The sequence below is a fragment of the Homo sapiens genome, chromosome 12, assembly GCF_000001405.40.
Source record: "Homo sapiens chromosome 12, GRCh38.p14 Primary Assembly".
Classification (NCBI taxonomy): domain Eukaryota; kingdom Metazoa; phylum Chordata; class Mammalia; order Primates; family Hominidae; genus Homo; species Homo sapiens.
In genome coordinates this window covers 2,318,196-2,338,505 of record NC_000012.12, presented here as the reverse complement: position 1 = coordinate 2,338,505, position 20,310 = coordinate 2,318,196, and the positions used below count along the sequence as shown (strand labels likewise).

The 20,310-nt window shown below is 47.6% G+C and overlaps 1 protein-coding gene across 55 annotated transcripts in view, besides 1 other annotated feature; it reads right to left on the bottom strand.

Moving 5' to 3' along the window:
- The window catches only part of CACNA1C (calcium voltage-gated channel subunit alpha1 C), a 727,171-nt gene that overhangs the window by 359,445 nt on the left and 347,416 nt on the right, over positions 1-20,310 (bottom strand). The window lies entirely within an intron of this gene.
- Positions 544-1,044: an enhancer, noted in NCBI's record as "H3K4me1 hESC enhancer chr12:2446628-2447128 (GRCh37/hg19 assembly coordinates)". NCBI's record gives its function as "activates a minimal SCP1, AML or CMV promoter by ChIP-STARR-seq in naive H9 embryonic stem cells {active_cell/tissue: H9 hESC(naive)}" and the evidence as "EXISTENCE:reporter gene assay evidence [ECO:0000049][PMID:30033119]".

Here is a 20,310-nt window from a genome sequence, read left to right as displayed (position 1 = left end):
AGCTTCATGGGGGTGGGGGTGGGGGGACATTTCTGGTATGCAGCCACTTTTGGCTCCAGTGCATCCTGAGCCACACAGCCAGGACCTGTGGACGGCATGTGTCCATTGGCCTTGGCATCTATCTCAGACAGACCCTTGTGCACAAGGCGCCCACCCTGGGGTCTCTTCTTGCTATGGACTGCATGGGGATGCTATTATGCCTATACAGATGTCCGTTTTCTTCATTTACCGATTCTCTGACTTACTGATTCAGAAGACGTTTGCTGCTAATTAGCCCCTTGCCAGACATCAAGGAGGGGTCAATAGTTAAAAAACGAGTTGCCCTCTCCTCCCCCCATGTAGCCAGCACTGGGGTCTAAAGTTGGCGTGGCATGCTCCTGCCAAGTCCTGCCTGGCTGTAGGAAAGGCATGCTGGGGGTAGTGAGGGGGAGTGTAGGGTCCTGGGATAGGACCAGGCTGTGCAGAGAGGGGATTCCAGGCTGGAAGTGTGGACTTAATCCTGGGACAGTCATTCCAGGTGCTGAAGCAGAGAAAGGGGACAATTAAGGAGATCTGCCTGGGGGCTGCCTGTGGGATACTACAGGGGGCTGAGACCAGAGGCAAAGACCAAACCTGAAGTCAGAGGAGGAGGCGTGGTCACCACAGGCTTCAGAGAAGGTGGCCAAGGGCAAAGTGCCTGGTTCAGGAGGGCCAGCTTCTGGCCTCCCCAGTGGTGGGTCCTGGAGGGTGTTACTCAGTTCCTCTGGGCAGCCCACTTTTCCTGAGTGAAACGCACATGATAACTCTGCCCTCGCATCTCAAAGGGGCTGGGTGCATTTAAAGTGCTTTGTTAAACTGTAGAGTGCTATACAAATGTTAGCTATTATTATTAAAGGGCTGAGACAGTATTTTGTCAGCAGCTTAGTTCAGCTTGGTTGAACACGGCACTCCAAACATTTCACCAAATACCAAACAGGACTTTGTTATTTAGGGAAGAGATTCAGGAGCTTTCATGGAACACTGGAACATCTAAACACCAGCGAAAAACACAACTATCCCAGCCTCCATGATAAGCATCTTCACTGTGGCGAGGCTGGAGGGCTGGTGAGCACTGTGACCCTCAGGCTCACGCCCAGAGAAGGCCTACAGTCTTGGGGTGCTTGGCTCCAAAAGGAGTCTAAGTCTGGAGGAAAGGAAAAGGAGGGTGTTCATACGGCCAGAAACAATGGTCCTGGCTAGTCTGTGTTTAGCCAGGTTTACCCTGAATGCTCACTCAGTTCTACAGGGGAAGGGCCTCTCAGGGACTACTGACCATGCAGAACACCTCAGAAACTTGGAATCCCAAAACCTTGGTCTTGGAAGGGCATTGCAGCCAGGCTGCCTCTCTACCTGCTTATCTTCCTCCCACAAGCCTGTGGGCTTCTCGAGGATGGAAACCAGTCCCCTAGTACCTAGCAAAGGACCGAGGACGTAGCCAGCTTCCCATATGCATTGGTTGTTTGGATGGATGGATGGATGGTGAATGGATGAATGAATTCCATAGCATTTCTAATCAAGAAAACACCAATCTGTTGCTTCCCACCTTTCCAGGGGAAGCCACCTTTTCTTGCGGTGTCTTACTCTTAAAAGAGTAGTATCTCATCCTGTGTCCCAACCCTGCCCGACATGGCACTCCACTCGCTCCTTTCTCCCACCACTGCTGCCCATCAGGAGGCTGTTGTGTTAATTCTGAAGGCTGAAGCCACCCAGAAACCTCCGCCCAGATGCCTTAGAGGGCCCCTAAAGAGGAGGAAGTAGCCAGGGGGTTGGCCTCATTTCCCAGCTAGCAGCACCAGCTCTTCCCTGGGTGTGAGCTGAGAATTTTCGGGGACAGGCAAAGAGCCTTCCGGAAGGGCAATAGGTTCCTATTTAAACGGTTGTTTTCATTTGCGTGTTTCACTAAGCACAAAAGCTCCCCTTTAAGCCCTCATCTCATGGTGAACAGACTATTCCTGCCTGTCTGAGTCACATATCTCTGGGCAGCCAGACCTTCTGACTCACTGGTGGTTGAAATCTCAGATTCACAATACCAGAGAGTTGCTAAAAATAGGAATCATGTACCTGGGCCCCAAAATAGGACAGAGTCAAACACGGCTCTTTAAAAACCTACTGCCCAATGTGTAACATAAAAATCAAAGAGGGGCTATACTTGTCTTCTTTCATATTATCTTAAATGTAATAAAGCCGTCTCTAATTCCTTTGGAAATCGGCAAAGTAGATGGACCAATACAATAGAAAGATAGGTTGGAATAATCGTGCCTAGTGCACTCTGGTTGTTTTTATTAGAAAATTCTATATCCTTAAATTAGCATAGGGTATTTTCACAGCAGTGGTAGGGAAATGAAGCTTCTCCATCCATGCTTTGCCAGTTTCTCTCTTGGGAATCAATGTGGCTTAAAATAGTAAGGAAATTTTCACTGAGGAACAAAGAGGATGCTTAGGGTTTGTTTTTTTTTTTTTTTTTTGGAGTTGTTTTATATTTCCTTTCAAGGCTTTGAGGTCTCCCTATATTAAAATTTTATAGCTTTTTCCATTACTTGCAAACTGTTTGTACTTGAACAGCCTTAGGATCAGCCTTGATTTTTTTCAGCCTTACTTTTTTTTGGGAAAAACATCTATACCACTTGAAGTATTCTTGACAATTCTGGGCAAAAGTCACAACAACTTTCTTCATCCTGCGTCTCTCCTATAGAAGTTACCATGGCTTCTGGGCCTCTGCTGACCTCACAACAGCCTGCAGGGAGGTTGGGCAGATGTCCTCACTCTGGGTCTACAGATGGGACTCAGATGTGCAGGGAGGAAGCACTCAAAGGGAGGGCCGGTCCCTCACCCAGTGTTTCTGATGCTTGCCCTGTCCTGCACCTGGAAAGGCTGGGAGTAGACACATGTGAAAGAAGAGAACAGAGCAGACCTGCCTTCCAGGGACAGGAGGGAGCCACGCTGTGCATGTCCTGCTCTGTCTGATGGCTGCCACCCGTGGAAAGGTGCTGCCATTCTGTCTTCCATACCTGCACATCTTTCTACATTATGTTTAAGGTTTTTTTTTTTTAACTAATATGCTCTACAGAGCAGATGACCTAAAGAAAATCACCCTGGAGATTGTCTCAAGAGGAAGGAAATGGCTCTTGACATCGTAAATCACAGATGTTTGTTTTCATGGTGTTTTAAATTCCAGTGACTTCCGGAAGGTGGGAGCCTGCAGGCATGGCGGAAGAGACCACTGAGTTATGGATCATAAATCACTGGGGCCACTTGTGGAACCCAGCCTAAAATCGCCAGCAGCCAAGATGAGGCTGCCGGGTGAGTGAGGGGGAAGACAGGGGATCACAGTCACACTTTGGCCAGCTGGGACAAGGTAAAATGGCACTATGTGTGGCTGAGATACTAGAACCTCCAAACCCAGAGCATCTCAGAATAGGGTTGAGGCTCATGAGAGGCCACTGCTAGCTTGGAAGCAGGCGTGGGAGTCCCTGGAATGGGTGCCTCAGCCTGGGGCCATTGGATAGGTCTATGGGGGAAAAGCTTAAAGAGAACGTGCAAGAAGCTCTGATAATGAAGCTTAGACATTTAAGAAAGGCGTTACGGTCTTATCTTTCTTGAACACACAATGGAAACCCCAAACCATGACATTTCTATCTAATTTAGGAGGGAAATAAATTGCCAAGAGTTGATGGTGGCAGGCCTTTAGTTGCTGTCATCTCATTTAATCCTTGCATCATACAATGGGACAGTTTATTTATTCTCTTAATTTTATAGCTGAAAAAACTGAGTTTCAATGAAGTTAAAGAATTTGCTGGAAGTCACACAGCTAAGAAATAAAGTCAACATTGAAAAAAATATTATTTTGTAGAAACGGGGCCTCACTATGTAGTCCAGGCCGGTCTCAAAGTCCTGGCCTCAAGAAATCCTACTGTCTTGGCATCCTGAGTCACTGGGACTATGGGCGTGAACCACCGTGCCTGGCTGGAGTCAGTATCTGAACCATGACTTGCCAGACATCCAAGCCCACTTCGCCTCACTACAGCACAATTCCTCTCTAGGACATGTGCCCAGTCTGCTAGTTGGAAGTTGAGCATCCTAATGAACCAGCGCTCCTGTCCTTTTGAGCCTAGAATGAGTTCTTTTGACTCAACCCATGGCAACCTTTTCCCTGGCTTTCTCTCTCCTCAGTTCCAGTAGAGTGACTGGCATATGCTGGTAAATGTCTGCTGAACTGCAGTAATGCTGTGGCACCTTCACTTCAGGGGGCCTCCTCTAGAATAAGACATCATGAGTGGCCAAATGGCTTCCACCCACTTTCTGCCTTGTGTAAATCTTTTTCACTAGGTGGGGGTAACCTGAAGGAGAAGGATTTATAAGCATGGAGGGCCCACCTCTTGTAGGCAAATTCATCTTCTGAGGCAGGAAGCAGCATTAGGAATGATCTAGCCCATCTCCTTGCCCCAGGGTGAGACAATAAGGGATCTTCCACTCTGCCCAGCATCGTACTGTTTGCAGAAGGAGTAAGAAGGGATAAAGAGGAAGTTAGAAGACTGACCTAGTCACCAATGACGGGAGGCAAGTAACTTGATTTCCCTGAGCCTCAGTTTCCTTTCCTAAGGGAAGTAATTCCTGTCTTGTCTTTCTTAGGGAGTTCTTGTGAGACCCTAAGGAGGGCTGTGTGCCACAGAGCTTTGAACATCAAAAAGAGCTACACAAATGGCAGGCATTTCTTCTCCAGGCTCTCTGGGGAGACAGTGAATGGTGTCTTTGTGTGATTCATTTTGTGTTGATTCACTCTTGCTGTCAGAAAGGCTTCTGAATGCCAACCTCCATCTCTCTCTGCAGCTGTCCCCTGTCGTTACGCCTTGTGAGGTGACGGAGAACAAGGGGTCAGAATCACCCTAACAAGGCTGCATCCACTGCTACTGGAAGGAGGCTGGATGGCGCGGTCATGCTTCCTATGCACAGGCATACAGTTTGCCTTCCCCTTAGGCCACTGTGGGATGAGAATTCCAGGAGAAAACGCAGGAAGGATGCTTGTTATTTAATAACAAGCTTGAGGAAATCACAACAGAGAGGAGGAAGCAAACAGGCTGACAAGTCAGGATGGCAGCGTGGGGGCCAGCGCCCCCAGTTCACCCACCATGGGCATGATCCAGGAGGCCAGGCAGGGCTGGAATTAAGAGCACAGGTTTTGGAGTCTCCCAATCTCACCTGGAATTCCAGCCGCACCTCTTACTACACACTGGCCTTGGGTAAATCATTCTGTCTCTCCAATACTTAGTGTTCCTTATCCACTAGGGGGATTAAATGAGATTCCGGAGTGCCCAGCACACAGCCCATCAAGACCTGTAGGTGTGCCACACTCCACGTTGTCACCATGACATCAGCAACCCCTCCTCTTCCCCCACGGAGTCTTCCCCACTTTCTGAAGTCTGAAGAACTGGGACTGGAACATGTCCAAGGGGCTGCTCGTCACTGCCGGAGGGATAACTGTTCAGACACTGTCGTCACACAGTCACAGAAAGACTCAGAACTTCATTGCTACTTTATTTGTTGTTTTCTGCCTTTAGGATACTTCCTTATGATAAAAAATGTGATATTACTAAAAAAATATTAAAAAGTAGGGAGAAATGCTACCAAGTATACTCCACATTTTGGCTTACTTTCTTCCAGATTTATAATGCGTATTTTGGATGTAATTGAGATTCTACTGCATGTACATTTTATTCTGGTATTTCACAGGACATGATAAGGTAAGCATGCTGTCATGCTGTTAAAAACTCTTCAGAGACATCATTAAATGGGCACATCCTATTCCATGGTAGGGCTACACCAGGCCCCCATTGTTAAATATTTAAATTGTCTCCAATATTTTACTGTTGGAAGTCACACTGTCATAAGATACTTGTGCATACGTCTTTGCATTTTTGTTTATTTTATTTGAGCAGAAATGGGGCTAAAAGTTATGGATATTTTTAAGATTCTTAATACAAATTGCCAAGTTACATTCCAGAAAAGTCTGGCCAAGTCTTTCCTGTGGCTAGGGTTTAGGAGTTCCTGCTACACACTCACATCCTCTCCTTCAATGGCTTGTCCTTATTCATCAACAAGCAAAATAGGGCACTTGCCTTTTTCTTTTTATCTTTTTATTTTGAAATAATTTCAAACTTAGAGAAAAGTTGCAAGAACAGAGAAAGACACTCACATAGATGCTTCCCCTAGATGGTCCAATTGCTAACATTTTTGTCATATTTGCTTTATTATTCCTCAATAGATAGGTATGTAGGCAGAAATATACATATGTAACATACATACACATACATAAACACACATATATTTTTTTGGAATCATCTGAGACTAAGTTCCAAACAGGATGTCCTTTATGCCTAAATACTTCAGCATGTATTTTATAGAAACAAAGACATTTTCATATACTGTGATGAGCAAAATAAGAAATTTAACATGGACACAGTACTGTAACTAATCTGTAGGCCTTAAATTTCACCCCATGCCCTTTATACCAAAAAAAATTTAATAAAAGGGAGTTCAGGATTCAACCTAAGTCATGCATTACACTTAATTGTCATATTTCTTTAGTTCCTTTAATCTTTAGTTCCTTTAATCTAAAACAGTTCTCTCCATCCCTCTGTCTTCCATGACCATGACCTTTTTAAAAAGAACAAGCCAGGATATTTGTAGCATGTCCCTCAATTTGGGTTTGTCTAATATTTCCTCCTGATTAGCTCAGAATCACGCATTTTGGGCAGGAGCACCACGGAAGTGATGTTGGGTCCATCTTGGGATATCACATTGGGTGGCGTGTCCACATTTGTTAGTTGGCATTATGTCCTAAGGAAAAGTTTTCCTCATTCTGCCCCGTTTATTCACTAACTTCCGTATGTCGGTATAGACTCATGGATTCTTATTTAAGCTGTTAATGTCTCCTCTCTTTTGATGCTCTAATTATCCGGGATTTAGGCAGTAGGAAGCTCTTGGATGGGACTTCTGTGTCCTTTGACACGACCTCGTCCTTCTGAGAGCATGACTTTCTGGCACCAGATGTAGCAAGAAGCTCTCTTGTGCTGACTTTGCCTTTGATTCCTTTCAGTAAAGCACAATATTAGAAACCAAAATCTAGATGCTAGACTCACATATTGCTCTAGGGGTGTCATTATTTCTAAGTCCTTTCAGCAGCTCTCGAGTTGGGATATGTACATATGTGTGTATGTACATAATCCATATTATATATACATCCATACATGTACATATGATATAGATGAATAAATATAATCATATTAACATGGTATTTCTTTTTAAATTAGAATTTTTTAAATTATTGCTGAGGTTGAACACTTCCAAATGTTATTAGGGTATCATACGGCTCCTTTGCACACCTGTCTATCAGAGTCTTCGCATTTCTTTAGATACATATTTAAATATGGATATTAAGGAAAAATACTACATTCGTGGTAAGTACTTTCCCAAATTTATTGTTTGCTCTTTTATTCCTGATGCAGAGACTTCCAGTTTTTTAAAGTTGTAACTATCCCCAATTTTTGTAATTTCTTTCACTGTTTTGAGCTATTAAAGTCCTCCCCCAGTCAGACATTTGATACTCTATTTTCTTCTTCTTTTTCCATTAATCTATTTAATCAACTTGGAATATATTGTGGCAAACTGTATGAGATGAGGATCCAAATCGCTTTGATATTTTTTCCAAGCAGCTAACCAATTGTCCTAGCACCATTTATTATATAATCCTTCCCTTCATCACTGATTTATCATTGTTGTTTTTAGAAATTGCTTTTTGTATCTCCATCTGGCCAAGTGGGCTTTATAAAGGTTGCAGGGTAAAACTGTTTTTCTCTCCTAGTCCCACATAATTTAGGACATTGGAAAAATAGCATCCTGGCTAAGCACTTGGCCTCTGGACTGAAGCCAGGCTGCCTGGATTCAAATCAAGTCGCCAGCTTTCCCACCTGTAAAATGGGGCTAATCAGTGCACCTACCTTGCAGGATATCATGAGTATTAAAGGAGTCAAAACACTTAAATGCTTAAAATAGTGCTTAGCACATGGAGGAACTCAATAAATCTTAGTTATTATTCTTTTTCAAATTATCTTGTTTTTAATGTTAACTTGTTTATTTCTCAGATGGGAAAATGAGGCTTAGCAATATGAGGTGATCCTCCAAGCTCACGTACCCCAGGCCTCCCACACCGATACATTTCCTACGAGAACGCAGGTCTTCCCCGGCATCTCATGCTCAGGTCAAGCCCCATGGCATTGACCTACGTAGGCAAATTCCTCTATGAGATAAGGAGAGGGAGGGAAGGTGAGAGGGCGGGAGGATGCAATTCAAACAGGATGTGTGGTACCATCCACCCTTCTCTCAGCATATGTCCACCCCATGTGAGTGGGGAGACCCCGACAGCTGTTCAGCTTGTCTTTCTTAGTTCCTGTGGCCTTCTTCACCACACTGAGTGGGTTTCCAGTGTTTAAAGATATGTATTTTCAAACAACACGGCCCCTAAATGTAAACCAACTAACGTTATTCCATCTGGGGCTCAACTGTTCCAGCAACAGACCTCTAATCCTCCTGGAGCAAAATCCAGCTGTCATGGCCTTCACAAGAAGTGGCTGCCATTCTGCAGCACGGCCCTTTCCTAGGGGAGTTTATTCACTACAAGGACTATGAGAGTGAAGTCACAGCCGCCCAGCTGCCACTTGTTTTTTGTCTTAGGTCATTCCCCTTTTCCTACTTTATTCTCCTCTAATGTGAACTTCATAAAGTGCACACTGGACTCTTCACCATGTCCCCATAATCACACAACCACACAACATCTATAGCAGCAAAAACGGTTCCTTTTGCCAAAATGCTAAAATCAAGAATTATTATTATTTTTGGGGGGTAGACTGGAAGAGCCTAAAGTGACAAGTCGGGATAGAGCATGTGGCATGTGCAGAATAGGATGCACTTGCTTGACAAGAGGCACAAAGGAATGATGTTCATTGATGGGGACAGGCATCGGCCCTCACTGCATTGGCTGGTGGTGCACTGACACTGCAGGTGAAGGGACTCTTCCTCATGAGCAAGTTTCCACACTTGGGCTTGAGTAGGGCAAACAGCTAGGTAATGTCAAGACAGAGCACCTAATTCTGGCTAATGCATTACAGAGTTCCATGTGTTTGAAAAATTGTAATAACGGTAGAAACTGTTGATGCTGTTATTCCACTAATCAAAACCATTCCAAAGTTACATACAGGAAAAGAACATGATACTGGTAGAGAAAATGGGTGGAGACTGAAATGCAGTCATTAGACCAGCAGCATCGATCTGCGGTGTTTGTAGACTCAGTAGGTGGCCAACAGGACCAGGAAGCCATTGTATACCAACATTGCTATTCAGGGTGCTATCTTTAGTTATCTATCACAAAACCAGGAGGCATCCACAGCAAATTTTGTTAATGCCCATACTGTCATTGATCCTGAAAAAATCAATCCGAGAGGTAAAAATAGAACAAGGGTGACAACAAGCAGTACTCAATTTCACCTGATTATTACACAGACAAATTCCACTTGGTCCCAGATGAGACACCGCATTGCTCCTTAGTCATTCTGTGGAGGCTGCCTTGAGTGGCCTTGTCTACCCACACTGTCAAAGTGAATGTTGCAATTGATCAATGGCACAATAAAGAAGATGCATTAGCAACAACTAAAAATGACTTGCTAATTGAAGCTGACACAGTAAAAGCCCCCATCTAGACATCCTTGTCTAATTGCACCAAGATGGCGAATAAATGGCCCAAGAACAGACCAAGTGGCATTCATTGATTCAGTTCTCAGCTTCCATAAAACTCATCTATCAAGCCCATGCCCACCTATGTTTTCCATACTGAAGCTGCTCCAGTTGGTCTGAAGAGTGATAATTCACTAATGTTCACTTTTGGGGTTCTTAATGCCTTTCCTAGGGAGAATGAACAAAAGCAGACAATCAGGGCTGCATTTGGAGCTAAACTTGACTAATCCACCCATCGCTTCAGCTCATTCTAACACCCATTCTGGGGTCAGTACTAAGTCACACCTTTGGACAAATTAAAATAAAAGAAGGGGGCAAAAATGCTAGAATCCTAGTGACTTCACTGCTATCACAGCACCCCAGGAACTTATGTTAAACCTGGGCACAAAGCCTCACTGGGCAGAAGCTCTCTAATAAAGGGAGCTGAGTATCCCCAGGGAGGTTCTGCTACCCAGGTACTAAGAAGAAAGAACTGGGGCATCCAGGAAATTTCTGTGAACCTTGAAAGCTCAAGGATCATTTGGGGGGCAAGAGATATTACAGCCAGCACCCTCTCTACTCTCAGTGCACGGGGAGAAAAGGAGCCAGCAGCCTTGCCGCTTTGACAGATCTAATGAAACTACTCTTTTGGCTGAAGTTCTATCAAAATCTTCCTCTGCAAAGAACTGCCCCCCTATCTAGGGCATCTGGAAGATATGTTCTCCTACAGAGTAATTAAATGATCTCATCTTTTGAACTGGATATTCAGGAGAACAGGCCATAGGTGAAGGAGGAAGTAAGGTGAGGAACCATCTGAGGGTTTTCCACTGAGGTCCAGTTTTCAGGTACAACCTCACCTCCCAGTGATTTCACCTCAGCAGGTCCAGTCATGCCGATTTTTCCTCTGACACCATCTTCCTTCATGAGTACCTATAATGAGGTAACTGAATTTTCGTTTTGCTTTTGGCAAGGCAACCTTCCAAGTTCACCATCTTCCTTGTAATTACGCTGTTGCATCAACCCTCAACTCCATCCATTTCCTAGTCATTTGTCAACCAACCACAAGGTAAGCTTAGCCAATCAGGTTCACGTATTCCGAGTTCCTGCTCACACCACACGAACACCTCTCAGAACTACCGTTAGGTCAGAATGTTAGAAATGGATGGAGTGTGGAGGTCGTCTGGTTAAAGACTGTCATTCTACCGTGGACCACAGTGAATGCCAAGGCACAGAACGAAATCAGAATCAGAATCAGGAAGAAAGCCCAGAATTCCTGACGCTACCAATGAACCCCATTTTCTTTGAGTAGAAAGGGGAGGATAGGCAACCTAATCAACCACTTGCTCAGTCAGCTAAGTGTTTGTTGTTTGACTGTAGATGCCTGGCAGTGTGTTTCATTTCGTAAGATCTGCAAAGGAAGTATACGTACAGCAGTTACCTGCAAATAACTTACAAAGCTAGCGGAAAATTGAGAAGAACAGGAATTCAGCATCCAGGACCTCAATCTCAAGGAGCAGGTCTGGGCTTCCTTTTTTTTTGTTAATTAAACAACATAGAAGTTCATTTCTTCTCTCTTATGTAAAACTCCGAGGTGAACAGTCTACTCCACTCAGTCTGTGGACACCAGATGCTTCCAGCTCACTAGCTGATCATCTCCTACTCATGGTCCAAGATGGCAACTAAAGCTGCAGCCATCACATCCACATTCCCAGCAGAGGAAGAAGGAGGCAAGAATGAATACTAGAGGGTAACTGATATATCTGCCATGGCACTATAGAGAGAATGTTCACCAAATCAGGAGCCTCCTGGAGTTTGGCCCTGCCTATTTTTACAAAGCTTCACAAGCAGTTGTTGATGCCTACCCTGGTTAAGGACAATTGAACCAGATCGTCTCTCAGGTACCTTCCAGCAGGAGCCATTCTGAGTGACATGAAATGAGGAGAGATCGATCAAGTATCACGCTAAGCTTTGTTTCAGGCAGTAAATCCAGTGGGCTGATCAATGCAGCCAGGCCTTGAGAACAGGGTGAAATACAGGCTGGGCCCTCAAGGCCAAAAACAATGCCAAGAGTTGCAGGCAGGTATTTACTAGGAGACACAGCATGGCGAGAGCTAGGAGGCAGGGGTCAAGCCTGATTACATTCCTGGAAAATAGCTCCTGTAGTCCAAGGGCAGTGGCAGCCCCTCTAATGAGATAAAGAATCTGCTTTTACCAGGGAAAGGAGCCTGGGACTTTCGAGAATCTCCATTCCAGGGCCCAGCTGAAGGTTCTGTACTTCTCAAAGTGTGGTCTCCAAATATCTACATCCAAATTGCTAGAAGAGCTGGTTAAAATGCATATTCCTAGGGCCCTAGTTTAGACTTATTGAATCAAAGTTCAAAGATTTGCATTAAGTTTTCAAAATGTGCAGTTTTAACAAGATTCCCAGCTGATGGTTAATGAACATGAGATCAGCGCGTTCCCTCTGAATGAAGGGCAGCTTATACCGTCCACCTTTATCCTCCTAACTATCTGCCCCCTTTATGCACCATTTCTCTGCTCTCTCTCTCCTCCCTCGTCATCCTCCTTTTTCTCTCCCTGCCTCCTTTAGTCCACCCCTCAAAAGCCCTTCTGAAAAAAATTGATGATGAAGAACAAAAACGCTCCCCCTGAAATGTGGGTGAGTCCTGCCTCCCCCTGCTGCCCCCAGAGTTTCTGCAGGCCCTTGTGTGCCCTTCCTCACAGCCGTCCTCAGGGGGCTGGCCAGGCTGATGTTTGCCGTGAGTGGAATGAAGGGCCCCTTGGGAAAAGCCAGTTGAGCTCGCACACACAGTAGCGGCTGGTGGCGATGTCTGAAGGAAGTCCTATTTCAGTCCCCCTCTTCCTCCCTGGCCTAGGGAAAACTTCCTGCTGTCCGCAGAGCTCGTGGCCTGAGTGTCCCTTCACGAAAGGTACAGAACACCACCACCTTGTCTACATGGCCAGGGCTGGGCTGATGCATAAGTGAAGTTGGTGGCTATTACATGACTTGAAGGAAAGCAGCAAAACCTGTTTGCCCTCAAAGGGAAAGGAAGGAAACTCATATTTATTGATGGTCCTGCTGAATGCCAGGCTCTGTGCTGTGCACTTTGTGTGCGTAACTTCACTTATCCCCGTATTACAAATGGTACAGTGGGAGCTCAGAGAGTTTGCATAATTTGTCCAAGTTCACACAACGAGTAAGTGAGGGTTGGGATTTGATATGTAACTCTACAGCCGATATTCCTTCCAATAAACCATATACCATGTACCCAAAAAGAACAAATTTCAACTATTAGACATTTACTTCTTAGGATTGGTTCCAGGAGTCCTCTGTTAAAACACGTTGCCTCTGTGAAAACAAGGTGCTCCCCTAGTAAACTAATCTACTATTTCCCGACCAGGTATTCTCACTGTATCAGAGAGTTTCTTGGATAATTTTCCAATGTGAGAGCAGCTCAGAGGAAATGGGTCTCGAGACCAGATAGTATGGATGGTGGGCAGAGGTTGCCCAGGAGGGGCTGTAGTGAGGGTGGGTGCCTCCGGACAGCAGGTGACACACAGAGCATAGGAGATGGGAGCCAGGGTAGGGCGGCACACTCATCCGCTTTACAGGACTGCAGAGGGCTCTCGGCTGGCACAGACCTTGGGAAAGAGAGCCCAGGTCCAGGCAGAGCTTTGAAACCAGAGCTGGGTCTAAACCTGTGTGATTTAACCTCTTTTGTCAGTCATTTAACCTCTCTGAGCCTCAGTGTTCTCATCTGTGGAAATGGACAGTAATTCACTCCTCGCCAGGCAACAGTAACGACTAAATAGCTTACAGAAAGCTATCCAGCGCAGTCCCTGGCACGTAGTAGGTACTCCATGGCATTTTCCTGACAGAGTTCATCACATGGAGAGCAAGACAGACAGCAAACCCCCCGAGAGGCCCAGCTCTGTGCCCCAGACCCAGCATGCCCTTCCCCAGCCACCCTTCCAAGCAAGCCCGCCAAGGAAGTGATTGATGGAGGCCTGTTTATTTCCTTTGCATATTTTTAATGACCTCTGGAGTCTACCAGCAAGCCTGCCCTATTTCCTACTTCAGACAGAATCACAGAGCAGAGAAGCAGCTGAAACATCAGGGTCCTGGCAGCATGCCTGCTCCAGCAGGTGCAGCTCAGGGAGCCTTTTCTCCTGGGGAGGCGGGGCCCGGGCAGCTCCGAGTGCAAGCGCGGGACCCAGGGCTGCTGTGTGTTCCTCAGGCATGTGTGCAATGGTCTTGGACAAAAACAGGACAACTCCAGCGTGTCATCTGGGCACAAACTCAGGTGCCACCAGGTGGAGATTCGGGCAGCAAGGGCGCGGCTTGTCCCTTCTTGGTCCAGAGAAATGAGATGACAAAAAATCCAAAATCTCCCCAAAGCAAAATGAATCGAGAAATGAACACTTGTCAGGCCCCTCTAAGTGTCTGTGGCCCTGTGAGGTGGTTTCACGTTTTGTGCCAGGCCCATGGAAGCCCTGAGGTGTCAGCCCCATCCCCCGGGCTTTTGAGGGAAACTGAGGCTAGAGTGGCTAGAGTGAGTCATCTTTAAGCATCAGAACTGGGACTTGCTCTCCTATTTTTAGACTTGAAGGGAAGGATTGACAATTCTCTGGACATTTGGGTTATATATAGAGCCAACTGGCTTGTTCTCAAATGGAAATGTCCAGACTGACTACATGAGCCAGACTCACCAGATAAACAGACCCGGCTCCTGCGATGGAGAACTGGAATGGAAGGACTCAGATTTCATCTTCTCCATGCCCTTCACTCACCACCACTACCCCACTGTACGCCCCCATCCGTCTAGGCTCTGCTGGGAACCAGGGGGAGGTTCTGATTCCAGACAGAGACAGAGGTCCCTGCCCCAACCCCCTCCCCCACCAAAAGCTCCTCCCTGCACGGACTCCCACAATGCCCTACGCAGCCTCCATTAGACCCACCCTGAAGTTAATGCACCATTTCCCCAAATCTCCTGGTCATGTGCTGGGCTACAACCCAGGAACAGGAAGCATGAGCTCGCAGAAGATAAACTGTGGGATGAGCTGTCACTGGGCAGGGATGGAAGCTGCCTCAGGTCTGGTTTTTTGAGGGTCGCAGGGGACAGGTCCAGGGCAGCAAGCTCAGTGTGTGGGCACTGCAGGGGAGGACAGGGTGGTGAGGGGTAGGTGTGGTGGGGCCAGCTGAAGATCCCGCCTCCTATGTGGGTCTACTCTAATCCTATTCTGATGGCGACACTCACCGTCCTCTCAGATTCTGCCACTATTTTCCTATTCCACAAACAGGCCCAACTTCCTCCCTTGGTCTTTGCCAAGGTGCAGCTGCAGGCAGTGAACCCCAGCATATCTAGGCTAGAGAGACCTCTCCAGGGGGAGCAGAGCCCCTCAACATTGTGGCCAGTGAAGGCTGCTGAAATACTTTTTAAAAAATTATTATTTTCTGGATTGTGAGCTTAAAGAACATCTTCAGAACTTCAAATTTCCTTAGGGTTGTGAATTACCAGATTGAGATAGAGGAAGCAAGGTCGGCTGAAAAAGAGCTACAGCCGTGTCTGGCTGTCTCCCGTGTGTGCAAAGAAGAGAGGAGAAACAGGGAAGGAAGGAGGAAGGCGGGGAGGGAGAAGATGGGGAAAGAGCATAGGGCTTGAGGATCGTCACAGAGAACAGGCAGGTAAATGGAGAGGACAAGAAAGAAGAACTTCAGAGACCAGGGCTGGACCACAGCTATGGGGAGTGGTGAGGACCTTCAGAACAGACAGCGTCGGGACAGCGTGGTGCAGCAGGCAGGCGGAGGGCCACTTCATCACCCAACCACTCACGTTTGTGGAGTGCTTGCTATGGACCAAGCGCTGCTCTAAGTACCTGCCATGTATTCACCCACTTAACTTCCAAGGTAACCTCGTGAGACAGATGCTCATGCAACAGGCTATGGGATAGAGCTGAAATTCGAGCCCAGGCAAGCTGGCAGGTGGCAATGCCACAGCATAACTGCCGTGCAACGCGGCATGGTAAGAAGGGGCTCAACAAAGCATTTGGGGTGAGCAGAAGGAAGGGAGAGAGGGAGGCAAGGGGGAGGAACACCTGACTTTGGGAGGGTCCCGTTTCTAGCCTGGACAGTCCACTAAGGTTTCAGAGCCTCATTTTTCATCTGTAAAATGGAGAAGATGATTTCTCTCTTGCCTTCTCATAGGGCTGTTCTGAGCCTGCAGATCGTGCAGATGGAAGTGATTCATGACTGTACAGCGCCACACATGCCCGGGCATCATGACCACTGGTGGCCATTGGGAGTCTCCCACGGTGGCAGGAATATACAATGCGTAGTCTCCAGAGTCAATGTGCTGGGCAGGCCCTCGGGCCCTCCCAGCCCTTAGTCCACCTGCTGGCTTCTGAAGTTAGGAAAAGCTTTACTACATTCATTGAAAATAGATGTCTTCATCTGGGGGTGGCTCCAGTGCCCCTGTGATTCAGCCCGATTCACCTTGTAGGCAGATGTGCCTTTCCCGGGCTCTCAAGCACTTCTCCTTGTTCATCACCCACACAGGCACATGTGCACGGAAAATAACTTGTAAAGATAAACAATGTGCACACACAAGTGTGAAGCAACTCAATTGACCCAAAGTGCAAATTAAATCGATTTCTTAATAATGCCCTATAAATAAATTAGTTTTGGCTATTGAACACAATAATGAGCCTCAGCAGCTGCGTCTAGTTCTGATAGATCAGGCTAATCTGGGACACCTCCCAAGAACTCAGCCCTTCACTCCCAGGTGGAAGATTCTCTGATGTATACCACCAGGTCACCTTGGGATTTAATGCAAACTTGATCCAGACTTTACCTTCGAGGAAGGAACCAGTTGCCATCACAACATAATCACAGACTTCATTCATTCCTGCCCCAAGGACTTTGCACGAGCTGTTCCCTCTGCCTGGCAACTTCTCCTCCAGATCTTCACATGGCTAGGACTTCATCCTCATTCAAGTCTCGGCTCAAATGTCACCTTCTCAGAGCCCGCACCTCCCAGCCCATATGACTTTACCTTCTTCATGGCACCTAGTGCTATATGAAATTACCTTGTTTATTCACTTGTTTACCTGCTTAGTTGTTTGTTCTCCCCACACACATGCTCACACATGCCACTAAATGCAAGCTGTATCTCAGCCACTGCTTTATCCCCAGAGCCTAGAGTCATTCATCCTGACACACTGTAGGTGCTCAATATTTATCAAACCACCAGAATTAATAAACTAATTAATGTAAACACAAGGCTAAGCAGTATTGCATTCAATCATCCCATCAGCCCTACGAGATGGGTACAAGTGCCCATTTTACAGATAAGGAACTGAGCCAGGCTAATGCACCTTGCTCAAAATGGGACTCCAAAAGCTATGTTGCCCTAACAGGTGGACAGAAAACAGAACAAATCCATCCCACCCAGGAACAAAGGAGGAGCCAAGGTGAGTACAGGCACCTGCTCTTCCCCCACCCCCCCAACGACCACCTTGGAAGCCAGAAAAAGCCCCTCCCCTGGACAGGTAGGAGGATTTGAAGCAGTTCCAGCTGCAGGTGACACTGGCTGCCTGAGCTGAGCCCAAGCAGACAGCCTCTGTTGGCTGAAGAGGCTGTGCCTCACACACCTTTAATTTTCCATAATGCAGCAACTGTAAATACGTGATTATAGGCTGCAGCCTCAGCCATCCATTGCCTTACACAGCTGCTGCTGCAGCATCCGTGTGGTGATGGAAGCCCCTCCTCTGGGCCCCCCAGGGTTGTAGATGGTCTAGCTTGTCTGGCAGGTCACCCAGGACCTGTGACTATCCCCGAGCCATAGGTGCAGGGAATGAGGGTTTCCAAGCACCCAGGAACCTCATCCTTTTTGTCTCCTGCTCCTACCCCTAGCTGCCTTGGCCTGAATGCCTGGCTGAGACTGCACACCTCCAAGCTGCTGATTTAATAGAGAGCTTTTCTTGAGGGAAGCCGTGTTTTGGGATGGGTCACAGAGAAAGGGAGGAGAGAAGAGGTGGCCTTGGAGGGGGTCCAGAGTAACACAGAAAGAACCATCCACCCCCAGAGAGAAAAGAAACCCCAGAGAAACCAGCCCTCCCCTTCTCCTTCCTCTATACCACAAGCTGGCTCCCAGCCCCTTACGGTATCCACTAATGCCACAGGCAAGGTAAATGGAGGAGCGGGGGCAGAGGGTGATTAATCACGTGTACATTCTGCTAATTACAATAATTGCTATTTAATGACTTGTGTATATTTCTCAGACTGAGAGCACATACACTGCCACCTGATGGACTAGGACGTGTTGGTATTTGGGTTCTGCTTACTTTTTATTTTTGCTAAAATATGCATACATATTCAACAAATACATGGGAATTAAACAAAAGCAAGGCCAAGAGGCAGCTATAGAGGGTGGAACTGCAGGCTGCTCTGTCAGCCTGGAATAAAGTCAAAGGAGGGAGTTAGGATGAGGGTAGCTGGATCCCACAGGACCTGAAGTCCAAGATTTTCATGGCACTGACCAACCACTGGAAACCCAATCTAATGCTCAATTTGGAGTCAGGGGCCCAGGTCAGTAACACTGTGGCTTATCCTCAGGCAGGGGACACACCCAATGGCCTGAATCCCCGGGGCTGGAGAAGAGGCCAGGGACGTGGCCCTCTAAGAAGGGAAGGGAAATACTTGGCTGCAGACTTCAGAGACCATCCTGCAGCAAAACCCCCAGGGACAGGAGCTTTAAAGGGTGGGAGCCGGTGTCAGGACCAGAATAGCTCATGGGGCTTCCTCAGCTCTGGGAAGGATGTGCATTTTCCCTGAAATGTGAACATGACTCACACCTAAGGAATGAAGTGAAATGTCTGGGGGCCCCTCCTGCTAGAAGGGGATACCTGGCAGGCTCTTTCAGGGTCCAGCCCCTTCCCATCTAGTGCTCTGCTGTCTCCCTTCTTGAGGAATGCTCATCCTCTCCCGGCCCAGCACACCCCCGTGAGCACCAACATTTGCAGACACCCCAGATCAAATTTAATACACAGCAAGAGCAAGCCAAAGAGTAAAAGAAATGTCTGAAGAAGATGAGGTCTGCCCGGAGGGTGTGTGGAGACCTCCAGAAATGAGCAGAGCTACACCCTTATCTCAGGCTCACCCGGCAATGCCCCTGAGTGGAGACCCTGGAATCCAACCCACCCGCTGGCTGCTGGGGGTTCGGAGCCAGGGTGTCAGGGGCCTGGGGCCTGGGGCTGTGGCGTGGGAGCGAGGTCTCTTCCTCCTGATGCATGGTGGCTGCTCATCGTGTACACTGGCCATCATGTACGCTGCCCATGTACGCCACCCATCAGGTACGCTGCCTACCAAGCACACTGCCCCCATGTATGTTGCCCACCATGCACGGCACCCCCATGCATGCCGCCTTCATGCACGCTGCCCCCACAGGCCACCCACCATGCACGCCGCCCCCATGTACACTACACATCATGTAAGCTGCTCATCATGTACACTGCCAGGACAGGGCAGGGGAGCCCACGAGGGTGCAGTGATATGTGGGGACCCCTGCCTGCCCAGGACAGGTGACAGGTAGGTGATGGGGTAGGAAAAGGAGCCGATGAACTTCACAGCCCCAGGAAACAGCTGGGGTGAGAGACTCACAAGCCCCACTCTGGAGAGTAAAGATTGGTCCTTGGAAACACCACTATTGTCAGAAAAGGAGCTCAACTCTGAGCTTCCCAGTCCTTTTCCTGAGGATTTAGAGGAGTAGGCCTCCCTCCCTGCCTGCCTTCCTTCCTTCCCTGCTCTCCTCCCTCTCCTTCTCTCTCTCCATTCTCTTCTATCCAACCCTCCCCATCCACCTCCCTCCCTCCTTCCCTGTCTCTCTGCCCGCTCCTCTAGCCCCGCACTCCCTGTCCCCCACCTTCTGTCTCCCTGCCCTATTTCCCATCCTCCATCCCCATGCCATCTCCCTCCTTCCCTCTCTCCCTCCATTCTCTTTCTTTGGTACCTAGTCCGTGCCCAACACTATTCTAGGTGCCGTGTGGCGCCTGCCTGTCTGGTGATCTGTAAACTCCTCCAAGCTGGGAATCAGCACTCAGCCTGACTCCTCTGATTTCTGGGACCCTTAGCAGAGCCTTCTCTAGACTCTGCGCCCCTTGAGGGCAGGAGCCATATGCTTACAGAAGCGTAGCACAGGGCGTAGCATATACCAGGCCCAGAGACAGCTCTTGAGCAATGTGGGCTGGGTGCCAGGTCCAACGGATGGAGGCCTCCTTCCACCACTGGGATTGATTTTACTGGGGATGTGGTGCTGGCTTATGGCTCAACAGGGTTGCCCTGCACAATAGGGAGAATTCTCCGCTGTCGCCTTGCTTAAAATCATTGTTTCAGCGGCTGCAGAGTAAGATGTTCCCTCTGACTTGCCACCTGTCAGGCCTGTAATTACACTCCACAGCTCCAACAAAATCTCCCTCATCCTGTGAGTTCCCGCCCCAGAAGGAGAGCGCCCAGGCCAAGGGGCGCAAAGATCA